General features: G+C 35.3%; 1 annotated feature.

Moving 5' to 3' along the window:
* Positions 287-821: an enhancer, noted in NCBI's record as "NANOG hESC enhancer chr3:35524036-35524570 (GRCh37/hg19 assembly coordinates)". NCBI's record gives its function as "activates a minimal SCP1, AML or CMV promoter by ChIP-STARR-seq in naive H9 embryonic stem cells {active_cell/tissue: H9 hESC(naive)}" and the evidence as "EXISTENCE:reporter gene assay evidence [ECO:0000049][PMID:30033119]".

Raw genomic sequence — 13,471 nt, 5'->3', positions numbered from 1 at the left:
CTGTGAGGATGTTTTTTATAAAACAGAGAAGAGATAACAAGTGCTGGCATGAGTATTGTATTAGTCCGTTTTCATAGTGCTATAAAGAACTGCCTGGGGTGGTTCCAAGATGACTGAATAGGAACAGCTCCAGTCTACAGCTCCCAGCATGAGAGATGCAGAAGATGGGTGATTTCTGCATTTCCAGCTGAGGTACCAGGTTCATCTCACCGGGGCTTGTTGGACAGTGGGTGCAGGACAGTGGGTGCAGCCCACCGAGCATGAGTTGAAGCAGGGCAAGGCATTGCCTCACCTGGGAAGCACAAGGGGTCAGGGAATTCCCTTTCCTAGCCAAGGGAAGCTGTGACAGATGACACCTGGAAAATTGGGTCACTCCCACCCTAATACTCTGCTTTTCCAATGGTCTTAGCAAATGGCACACGAGGAGATTATATCCTGTGCCTGGCTCAGAGGGTCCCATGCCCACAGAACCTCACTCATTGCTAGCACAGCAGTCGGAGATCAAACTCCAAGGTGGGAGCGAGGCTGGGGGAGGGGTGTCTGCCATTGCTGAGGCTTGAGTAGGTAAACAAAGCAGCAGGAAGCTCAAACTGGGTGGAGCACACAGCAGCTCAAGGAGGCCTCCTTGCCTTTGTAGACTCCACCTCTAGGGGCTGGGCATAGCTGAACAAAAGGCAGCAGAAACCTCTGCAGACTTAAATGCCCCTGTCTGACAGCTTTGTAGAGAGCAGTGGTTCTCCCAGCACAGAGTTTGAGATCTCAGAACGGACAGACTGCCTCCTCAAGTGGGTCCTTGACCACCGAGTAGCCTAACTGGGAGGCATCCCCCAGTACAGGCCGAATGACACCTCACACGGCCGGGTACCCCTCTGAGACGAAGCTTCCAGAGGAACGATCAGGCAGCAACATTTGCTGTTCCACAATATTCACTGTTCTGCAGCCTCTGCTGCTGAGACCCAGGCAAACAGGTCTGGAGTGGACCTCCAGCAAAGTCCACTTGACCTGCAGCTGAGGGTCCTGACTGTTAGAAAGAAAACTAACAAAAAGAAAGGACATCCACACCAAAACCACATATGTATGTCACCATCATCAAAGATCAAAGGTAGATAAAACCACAAAGATGGGGAAAAATCAGAGCAGAAAAGCTGACCTGATGGAGGTGAAAAACATGGCATGAGAAATATGTGACAAATGCACAAGCTTCAGTAGCCGATTTGATCAACTGGAAGAAAGGGTATCAGTGATTGAAGATCAAATGAATGAAATGAAGTGAGAAGTTTAGAGAAAAAAGAGTAAAAAGAAATGAACAAAGCCTCCAAGAAATATGGGACTATGTGAAAAGACCAAATCTACATCTGATTGGTGTACCTGAAAGTGACGGGGAGAATGGAACCAAGTTAGAAAACACTCTGCAGGATATTATCCAGGAGAACTTCCCCAACCTAGGAAGGCAGGCCCACATTCAAATTTAGGAAATACAGAGAATGCCACGAAGATACTCCTCGAGAAGAGCAACTCCAAGACACATAATTGTTAGATTCACCAAAGTTGAAATGAAGGAAAAAATTTAAGGGCAGCCAGAGAGAAAGGTCAGCTTATCCACAAAGGGAAGCCCATCAGACTAACAGCTGATCTCTCGGCAGAAACTCTACAAGCCAGAAGACAGTGGAGGCCAATATTCAACATTCTTAAAGAAAACAATTTTCAACCCAGAATTTCATATCCAGCCAAATGAAGCTTCATAAGTGAAGGAGAGATAAAATACTTTACAGACAATCAAATGCTGAGAGATTTTGTCACCACCAGGCCTGCCCTAAAAGAGCTCCTGAAGGAAGCACTAAACATGGAAAGGAACAACTGGTACCAGCCACTGCAAAAACATGCCAAATTGTAAAGACCATCGATGCTAGGAAGAAACTGCATCAACTAATGAGCAAAATAACCAGCTAACATCATAATGACAGGATCCAATTCACACACAACAATATAAACCTTAAATGTAAATGTGCTAAATGTTCCAATTAAAAGACACAGACTGGCAAATTGGATAAAGAGTCAAGACCCATCAGAGTGCTGTATTCAGGAGACCCATCTCATGTGCAGAGACACACATAGGCTCAAAATAAAGGGATGGAGGAAGATCTACCAAGCAAATGGAAAACAAAAAAAAGCAGGGGTTGCAATCCTAGTCTCTGATAAAACAGACTTTAAACCAACAAAGATCAAAAGAGACAAAGAAGGCCATTACATAATGGTAACGGGATCAATTCAACAACAAGAGCTAACTATCCTAAATATATATGCACCCAATACAGGAGCACCCAGATTCATAAAGCAAGTCCTGAGTGACCTACAAAGAGACTTAGACACCCACACAATAATAATGGGAGACTTTAATACCCAACTGTCAACATTAGACAGATCAATGAGACAGAAAGTTAACAAGGATATACAGGAATTGAACTCAGCTCTGCACCAAGTGGACCTAATAGACATCTACAGAACTCTCCAACCCAAATCAACAGCATGTACATTCTTCTCAGCACCACATCACACTTATTCCAAAATTGACCACAGTGTTGGAAGTAAAGTACTCCTCAGCAAATGAAAAAGAACAGAAATTATAACAAACTGTGTCTCAGACCACAGTGCAATCAAACTAGAACTCAGGATTAAGAAACTCACTCAAAACCACTCTACTACATGGAAACTGAACAACCTGCTCCTGAATGACTACTGGGTTCATAACGAAGTGAAGGCAGAAACAAAGATGTTCTTTGAAACCAATGAGAAAAAAAACACAACATACCAGAATCTCTGGGACACATTTAAAGCAGTGTGTAGAGGGAAATTTATAGCACTAAATGCCCACAAGAGAAAGCAGGAAGGATCTAAAATTGACACCCTAATATCACAATTAAAGAACTAGAGAAGCAAGAGCAAATACATTCAAAAGCTAGCAGAAGGCAAGAAATAACTAAGATCAGAGCAGAACTGAAGGAGATAGACACATAAAAAACCCTTCAAAAAATCAATGAATCCAGGAGCTGGTTTTATGAAAGGATCAAAAAATTGATAGACCACTAGCAAGACTAATAAAGAAGAAAAGAGAGAAGAATCAAATAGATGCAATAAAAAATGATAAAGGGGATATCACCACCAATCCCACAGAAACACAAACTACCATCAGATAATACTATAAACACCTCTACACAAATAAACTAGAAAATCTAGAAGAAATGGATAAACTCCTCCACACATACACCCTCCCAAGACTAAACTAGGAAGAAGTTGAATACCTGAATAGACCAATGAAAGGCTCTGAAATTGAGGCAATAATTAATAGCCTACCAACCAAAAAAAGTCCTGGATCAGACGGATTCACAGCCGAATTCTACCAGAGGTACAAAGAGGAGCTGGTACCATTCATTCCGAAATTATTCCAATCAATAGAAAAAGAGGGAATCCTCTCTAACTCATTTTATGAGGCCAGCATCATCCTGATACCAAAGCCGGGCAGAGACACAACCAAAAAAGAGAATTTTAGAGCAATATCCCTGATGAACATCAATGCAAAAATCCTCAATAAAATACTGGCAAAGAGAATCCAGCAGCACATCAAAAAGCTTATCCACCATGATCAAGTGGGCTTCATCCCTGGGATGCAAGGCTGGTTCAACATATGCAAATCAATAAACGTAATCCATCATATAAACAGAACCAAAGACAAAAACCACATAATTATCTCAATAAAAGCAGAAAAGGCCTTTAACAAAATTCAACAGCCCTTCATGCTAAAAACTCCCAATAAATTAGGTATTGATGGGATGTATCTCAAAATAATAAGAGCTATTTATGACAAACCCACAGCCAATATCATACTGAATGGGCAAAAACTGGAAGCATTCCCTTTGAAAACTGGCACAAGACAGGGATGCCCTTTCTCACCACTCCTATTCAAAATAGTGTTGGAAGTTCTGGCCAGGGCAATCAGGCAGGAGAAAGAAATAAAGGGTATTTAATTAGGAAAAGAGGAAGTCAAATTGTCCCTGTTTGCAGATGACATGATTTTATACTTAGAAAACCCCATCATCTCAGCCCAAAATCTCCTATAGCTGACAAGCAACTTCAGCAAAGTCTCAAGATACAAAATCAATGTGCAAAAATCACAAGCATTCTTATACACCAATAACAGACAAACAGAGAGCCAAATCATGAATGAACTCCCATTCACAAATGCTTCAAAGAGAGTAAAATATCTAGGAATCCAACTTACAAGGGATATGAAGGACCTCTTCAAGGAGAACTACAAACCACTGCTCAACGAAATGAAAGAGGACACAAAGAAATGGAAGAACATTCCATGCTCATGGATAGGCAGAATCAATATCATGAAAATGGCCATACTGCCCAAGGTAATTTATAGATTCAATGCCATCCCCGTAAAGCTACCAATTGCTTTCGTCACAGAATTGGAAAAAACTACTTTAAAGCTCATATGGGACCAAAAAAGAGTCCACATTGCCAAGTCAATCCTAAGCCAAAAGAAGAAAGCTGGAGGCATCACGCTACCTGACTTCAAACTATACTGCAAGGCTACAGTAACCAAAACAGCATGGTACTGGTGCCAAAACAGAGATATACACCAATGGAACAGAGACCTCAGAAATAATACCACACATCTATAACCATCTGATCTTTGACAAACCTGACAAAAACAAGAAATGGGGAAAGGATTCCCTATTTAATAAATGGTGCTGGGAAAACTGGCTAGCCATATGTAAAAAGCTGAAACTGGATCCCTTCCTTACACCTTATACAAAAATTAATTCAAGATGGTTAGAGACTTAACTGATATACATAAAACCATAAAAATCCTAGAAGAAAACTTAGGCAATACCATTCAGGACATAGGCATGAGCAAGGACTTCATGTCTAAAACACCAAAAGCAATGGCAACAAAAGCCAAAATTGACAAATGGGATCTAATTAAACTAAAGAGCTTCTGCACAGCAAAAGAAACTACCATCAGAGTGAACAGGCAACCTACAAAATGGGAGAAAATTTTTGCAATATACTCATCTGACAAAGGGCTAATATCCAGAATCTACAATGAACTCAAATAAATTTACAAGAAAAAAACAAACAACCCCATCAAAAAGTGGGTGAAGGATATGAACAGACACTTCTCAAAAGAAGACATTTATGCAGCCAAAAGACACATGAAAAAATGCTCATCATCACTGGCCATCAGAGAAATGCAAATCAAAACCACAATAAGATACCATCTCACACCGTTTAGAATGGCGATCATTAAAAAGTCAGGAAACAACAGGTGCTGGAGAGGATGTGGAGAAATAGGAAGACTTTTACACTGTTGGTAGGACTGAAAACTAGTTCAACCATTTTGGAGGACAGTGTGGCGATTCCTCAAGGATCTAGAACTAGAAATACCATTTGACCCAGCCATCCCATTACTGGTTATATACCTAAAGGATTATAAATCATGCTGCTATAAAGACACATGCATACATATGTTTATTGCGGCACTATTCAACAATAGCAAAGACTTCGAACCAACCCAAATATCCATCAATGATAGACTGGATTAAGAAAATGTGGCACATATACACCATGGAATACTATACAGCCATAAAAAAGGATGAGTTCATGTCCTTTGTAGGGACATGGATGAAGCTGGAAACCATCATTCTCAGCAATCTATTGCAGGGAAAAAAACCGAACACTGCATGTTCTCACTCATAGGTGGGAATTGAACAATGAGAATACTTGGACAAAGGAGGGGAACATTACACACCAGGGCCTGTCGGGGGGTAGGAGGAGGGGGGAGGGATAACATTAGGAGATATACCTAATGTAAATGACGAGTTAATGGGTGCCGCACACCAACATGGCACATGTATACATATGTAACAAAGCTGCACGTTGTGCACATGTACCCTAGATCTTAAAGTATAATAATAATAATAATAATAAAAGAACTGCCTGAGACTGGGTAATTTATAAAAGAAAGAGGTTTAATTGATTCACAGTTCAGCATGGCTTGGGAGGCCTCAGGAAATTTATAATGATGGTGGAAGGTGAAGAGGCAGCAGGAAGAAGTGCTGAGTGAAGGGGGAAGAGCCCACCCAGGACTCACTCACTATAAGGAGAACAGCCTGGGGGACACCACCCCCATGATTCAATTACGGCTGCCTGGTCTCTCCCTTGACATGTGGGGATTATGAGAATTAAAATTCAAGATGAGATTTGGGTGGGAACACAAAGTCTAATCATATCAGGTAAGGAGAAAAAAGAATCCATGCACGCTATTAATAGCAACATAGACTGGAGCTGCTACAGTGAAAAACAGTGTGCAGCTTCCTAAAGAAATTAAAAATAGAACTACCAATATGACCTAGCACTCCTCTTTTGAGTATATAACCAAAGGAAATAAAATAATCACCTCATAAAGATATCTTCACTCTCATGTTCATTGCAGCATTATTCACAATATCGAAGATATAGAAACAACCAAAATGTCCATCAATGTTTGAATGCATAAAGAAACTGTGAGATATATATCTCATATATGTATATATCATATATATCTCATATATATGTGCATGTGTGTTTGTATACATATATAATGGCATATTATTCAGCATTATAAAGGGGGCAAACCTGACATTCAAACAACGTGAACAAAATTAGAGATTATTATGCTAAGTGAAATAAGACAGACACAAAGAAAAAATGTTACATGATCTCACTCATATGTGAAATATTTAAAATATGAATACCTAGAAACAGTAAAACAGGAGCAGGGTGGAAGGGAGATTGTAGGGATGTGGGAAGATGCAGGTCAAAAGTATAAAGTTTCAGTTATAATTGTATTCATAATAAAGGAGTCAATTATCCAAGAAGATATAACAGTTTCTAATGTTTATGAACTTAACAACAGAATGTCAAAATAACTGAGGCAAAAACTGATAGAAGGGCAAGGAGAAATAGATAACCCACTATTATAGTTGAAGACTCCAGTAGACTTCTTTAGTAATTTATAGATCGAGCAGACAGAAATTTAAAAGGATATAATACATACGAAGAGCACTATCAAACAATTTGATCTAATTGATATTTATAGGATAATTCATTCAACAGTGGCAAAATATGTCCGTATGAAACTCAAATGGAACACTCACCAAAAAAATTCTTAACAGTTTTAAAGTAATAGAAATTGTACAAAATATGTCCTCAGACTACAATAAAATTAAATTAGAAATCAATAACAGGAAGATGGCTGAAAAATCCCAAGTACTTGGAAATTAAACAACACACTTCCAAATAACACATGGGTTAAATAAACTGTTTCAAGAGAAATTTAATTTAAATTCAAATGAAAACAATAATATAACCTATCAAAATTTTGGGATGCAGTAAATGCAGTACTTAGAGGAATATTAATAACTTTAAGTGCATATATTAAAATGGAAGAACGACCTGCAATCAGTAACCTAAGACTTCACATTATAAAAATTTTAAAAAGACAATTTCAGGTTAAAGAAAGCAGAAAAAAGTAAATAATGAAAAATACCACAAGAATCAGTAAAATCGAAAACAAGAAAACAATAAAAAATATCCATGAAACCAAAAGCTGATTCTCTGAAAAGAAAAGATCAAGGACACCAATAAATCTTTAGGTAGGCTAAGAAGAAAAGAGAATAAGCAAATTGCCAATATCAGAAGTGATACTAATTCCCTGAATATTAAAAGGACAATGAAGCAATACTACAAATAACTTTATGGCCTTATATTTGATAATTCAGATAAAATGAACTATTGAGAAACACAAATTACCAAACTTCACTCAAAGTAACATATAATCTGAATATGTTTATATCAAATAAATTGAATAAAAAATAACAACAACAAAAAATCCCAGCATGCCCCCATGGTGGAGTCACTGGTAGATTCTACCAAATATACAGGAAAGAAAAGATATCTATTTTCCACAATTCCTTCCAAAAAATAGAAGTAGATACTACAATTACTAATAATTCTACGAGACCAGCATTATTCTAATCCCAATCCCAGATACAATAGAGAAGAAATTTATGTAACTCCATAAAGAACCTTCAGTAGTCTCACCTTAATCATGGTTTTGCTTTCTGCAGTTTCAATTACCACATTAACATAATTTTATTCCAGTATATTAATTGTTCTATTTCATTATTAGTTATTGTTAATCTCTTATGGCACTCAATTTGTAAATTAAACATTATCATAGGTATATAAGTATATAAAAAACATAGTACAAATAGGGTTCATTAATATCCATGATTTCAGACATCCACTAAGGGTCTTGGAATGTATGCCCTATGGATAAGGGGGGTCTACTACAATGCACTGAAAACCTACAGGCAACATGTTTATTCATGAGAAACAGGATGCTGTCCCCCAAAGGTTTAGAACAAAGCAAGGATAAACTATTTTACCATTCTATTTCATATCTTACTAGAAGCCCTAGATAGCCCTAGATAAAAAATGCAATAAAATGTATATAGACTGGAAAGAAAGAAATAAAACTGTCTTTATTTGCAGGTAATATGATTGTGTATAAAATTCCCCCAAAAGGAGAGAAACTCCTAGAGCAAATAAATGAATATAGTAATGTCACAGGAGACAATATAATATACAAAATAAAATTGTTTACTCTGTATCAGCAACGAACAATTGGAATCTGAAATTAAAAATCAATATCAGTTACAGTAGCACTACCCCCAAAATTAAATGCTTAGATATAAACCTAATAAAACATGAACATATCCTACATGTTAATAATTATATAACTCATGAAACAAATCAAAGAAGATCTAAATAAATGGAGATTGGAAGACAGTATTGTCTCTTCTCTCAGTGTGATATATAGATTGTGTAATTGACAGTAGTGTCAATTCTCTCAGTGTGGTATAAAGATTCTCATAATCCCTGTCAAAATACCAGCAAGTTATGTTTAGATAATGGCAAGTTGATTCTATAGCTTATGTTGAAAGGCAAAATACCTAGAATAGCAAACACAATACTGAATTAGAAGAATGAATTACAAAGAATGATTTCAAGACTTACTATAACATTACTTCAAGACAGCATGGTATTGGTTAAAGAATGAACACATAGATCAATAAAGAGAGCCCAGAAATAGGCTCACACGAATATAGCCAACTGATCTTTGACAAAGGAACAAAGGTAATTCACTGGAGAAAGCCCAGTCTTTTCAATAAATGGTGCTGGAAAAATTGGATGCTCATTTAAAAAAAAAAAACCATCTAGACACAGATCTAATACCTTTTACAAAGTTAACTCTAAGTGGATCATAGACCTACATATAAAATGCAAAACTATAAAACTTCTAGAAGAAAATCTAGGTGGTCTTAGGTTTGATGGTAACTTTTTAGTTACAGCAAAAAGAATGATGTATGAAATTTTAAAGTAAACTTTAAAAAAATGAATACTTTGCTCTGTGATAGACAGTGTTAAAAGAAAGAAAAGACAAGCCACAGAAAAAATATCTGCAAAACACAAAAATTTAATTTCTAAACACAATAGTAAAACTGAAAACTAAACTCAGAGGTTTATTCTTAAGAAAAACTAATAGAATTATCCAGGAACAAAAAAACCCACAATGTTACCAATTAGAAAGGTAATATAACCACAGGTGTAAATAGATATTGAACATATATGAATTTATTACCAAATTTGACTCAATCAACTGTATGTACCTGAACAGGGAAATAATATATGAATTCAAAACATCTAAAAATAGTAATATAATGGCCTAAATTATTCTATCCAGATGATTTTATGAATAAATTATGTCAAAAATTTTTTTTGCTATTTATGTGCTCTGAAAGAAAATGATATAATGCTTTCCAATTAATTCTGATGAAGGTAAAATTTCTTGGTAACCAATCTCATTGGAGAAATAATTGTGTTTTTATTTTTTAGTGTAATCCAGGTACTCAACAACTTCATGTATATTTATTAAAGGAATAAGTTATAAAATGAGAAAACTCTCTACCCAAGAAATTAATAAGACATATTAAAATACTGTATAATTTTAAGGTAAAAAATTATTTTTAAAAAGTCTTGATATAACCTAATTATACAGATATATTAATATAAGATATAATAGGACTGTAGTATATTGATACTTTACAACAAAAAATGTAATCCCTAAAGAGATGCTATAAATCCTGGAAACACATTTGATTATATTTAACATCTATATATTCTAAAAATTCTTGGTATAAAAATAGCATATTATGTATTATCTCTCAAATAAATAGTTGACATTTAGCTTAATAGTAAAGTGATGCATTCCCAATGAAGTTAAAAATAAAAATAGTGAACAAACATTGTGGCTTGACATTGATCTAGCTCTTGTTGTCTAGAACATTGTGCTCAGATTATAGATGTAATAAGTGGCATAAATTATCACATCTTTTTATTGAATGTGTGCCAAATGTTTAATGTAGAGTTTGACATATATGCATAAAAGTTACTATTAACAATGATATTTATTTATAAATTAAACTATAATACAATTAAAACAAATTAAGATAACTCAATGGGAGTATAATTTTTAAAATGATGCACAGAGATGAAGAGCTTGTAAGAAAATTAGATAGAAATAGAATGGGGAAATGCCCCAGTCATTATAGCAAGAAAAATTAAAATGCCTAACAATAATTGTACAGGATCTCCTTGGAAATGACTATAATACCACAGCTCATTATTTGATCAATGGAAAAATTTTACATAAAAACAGATGCTTATTATATCCTTGGATGTTGATATGGTTTGGCTGTGTCCCCACCCAGATCTCATCTTGAATTGTAGCTCCTATAATTCCCACGTCTTGGGAGGGACCTGGTGGGAGGTAATTGAATCATGGGGGCAGTTTCTTCCATGCTATTCTTATGATAGTCAGTAAGTTCTCACGAGATCTGATGGTATCATAAGGGGCTTTCCTCTTCGCTCTGTTATCATTCTTCTGTCTCCTACCATGTGAAGAAGGACATATTTGCTTCCTCTTCTGCCATGATTGTAAGTTTCCTGAGGCCTCCCCACCCATTCTGCACTGTGAGTTAATTAAACCTCTTTCCTTTGTAAATGACCTAGTCTCATGTATGTCTTTATTAGCAGCGTAAGAATGGACTAATACAGATGCACAAATTCAATATAGTGTAGATGCTGATTCTATCCAAGTTGACTCTACTTAACATTCCATTGGGATTATACGAGAAATTACAGAAAATTATTCTTTAGTTTATCTGCAAAAAAATAAAAATAAAAGAGCAAGCTGAAAACTTTGTAAATAAAAAAGAAGAATGAGGGCAAAATTTGGTGCAGGAAAAGACAAACAGAGCAGTGAAAGTGCCTATGCACTTGAGAAATAGACTCGAAAGCTTATTTTTTTTTCTTTTTTTTTCAACTGTTATTTTGAATTCAAACATGTGCAGGTTTGTTACATGGGTACAATGGATAAGGCATGATGCTCAGGTTTTGGGTATAGATGATCCCATCACTCAGGTACTTAGCATAGTACCAGATAGATAGTTTTTCAGCCCACAGTCCTCCCCCTATCCACCCTCTTGTAATCCCCAGTATCTCTTGTTTTCATCTTTATGCCCATATGCTCTCAATGTTTAGCTCCCACTAATAAGTGAGAACACGTAGTATTTGGTTTTCTGTTCCTATGCTAGTTCACTTAGGATAAAAACCTCCAGCTGTATCCATGTTGCTGCAAAGGACATGATTTCATTCTTTTTCATGGCTGCACAGTATTCCATGGTGCATATATACCACATTTCCTTTATCCAATCCATCACTGATGGGCACCTAGGTTGATTCCAGTCTTTGCTATTGTGGATAGTGCTGCAATGAACGTATGAGTGCATGCATTTTTTTGGTAGAATGATCAAGAACTTATTATAATCACTTATTATAAAATACAATGGAATTTCAAGCAATGAATAAAATAATAAATTCAATAAATTGTGTTTGGGCCAGTTGGTAAGGTATGTTAGAATCCTAACATCCAATTAAGTATAAATGTATTAATATTCAAATGTAATAAAATAAATTCATAAAAATACTAAGGCAGATCTATCATTTTGGGTTGCTGAAAGTAGTTCATATTATGACAGTAGATTCAGAAATAATAATATAAAATACCGATAGATTTATTACATAAAAACTAACATAATTCTTTTAATATAAAATCTCTGTGGGCAAATTAAAAAGCAAGCGATAAACTGAAAGATATATTTAATAAGGTAGGGTCAATTTCAAAGGGTGATATTATATGATACACACACACAATCATGTATGGATTTTAAAAAAACAGATTCTACTAGAAAATATGGTGAAAGGATTTACATAGGTAATTAACTGAAAATAACTATCAACCACTATTAATTTTATCATGGTAATTTCTCATTTACAGTAATTTAGAAAATACAACATTAAAGAACAAAGCTATCTCATGTTTAGTTTTTAACTAGGCGAAGATATAACTATTGATTAATAGCTACTGCCAGAGATGGTGTAGGGTGATGGACAGCCTCACATAAGTTAGAATTACAGATCAGTGCAAATTTTGTAGAAGGCAATTTGATGAAATGTAATAGAAGTCTTAAAAATTTATATGTTCTTTAGCCTAAAATTTCCACTTCTAAGTTTACTTCATTAAGTGACGAAGCAAAATATTTCAAAGATTTATAAAATAATAATTAAGGAGAACATTTCTAAAGTAAATGTAAGTGATAGATAAGAGAAATACATTAAAGAATATAAGAGACTACTAGGAATTTTAAAACATGATGGTGTAAAAGGCTGCTTTTGGTATAAAAATAAACATATTACTCTACATATAGTTATTTGAGAAAAGAAAATTAACAATAGTTATATTATGATCTCATTATATGTATATGCATAAAATTATGAAGAAATACAGATGTATATATACAAAATTAATGTAGGGAGGAATGGTGATGGGATTAGGCTGAACATATCTTTGCTTTTTATTTTGTTTTTGCTTATGTATATTTTTAATGTTTTCTCCAAAACTTAATTATAAAATAAAGTTAGTGGAAGCAAAGTTTACAATAGTAAATAACCACTTCAGGAAGATTGAGAACTATTATCTAAATAAACCCTCTACACTAAGAACTGTGCTATTACGTCGCATATTTATACTATTCAATGCAAACACCCGTAAGCTGTAGTCTTCTCACAGTGACATGCTGAGACCTGATTTAACCGGATAAGATGGATAAGAAGCACCATTAAATTTATCTGTGTTCAAAATCCTGATGTTCATCAATATTTAATAGCCTGAGAATTTTATTACATGTGCTGAGTGCCACAGAAACAAGCATGGGAACTGAACTCCACGTATAAAGTC

This window comes from Homo sapiens, chromosome 3 (genome assembly GCF_000001405.40).
Source record: "Homo sapiens chromosome 3, GRCh38.p14 Primary Assembly".
NCBI classification, from domain to species: Eukaryota; Metazoa; Chordata; class Mammalia; order Primates; family Hominidae; genus Homo; species Homo sapiens.
Note: the sequence above shows the minus strand (reverse complement) of the source record. Positions and strands in the feature narration are given on the sequence as shown.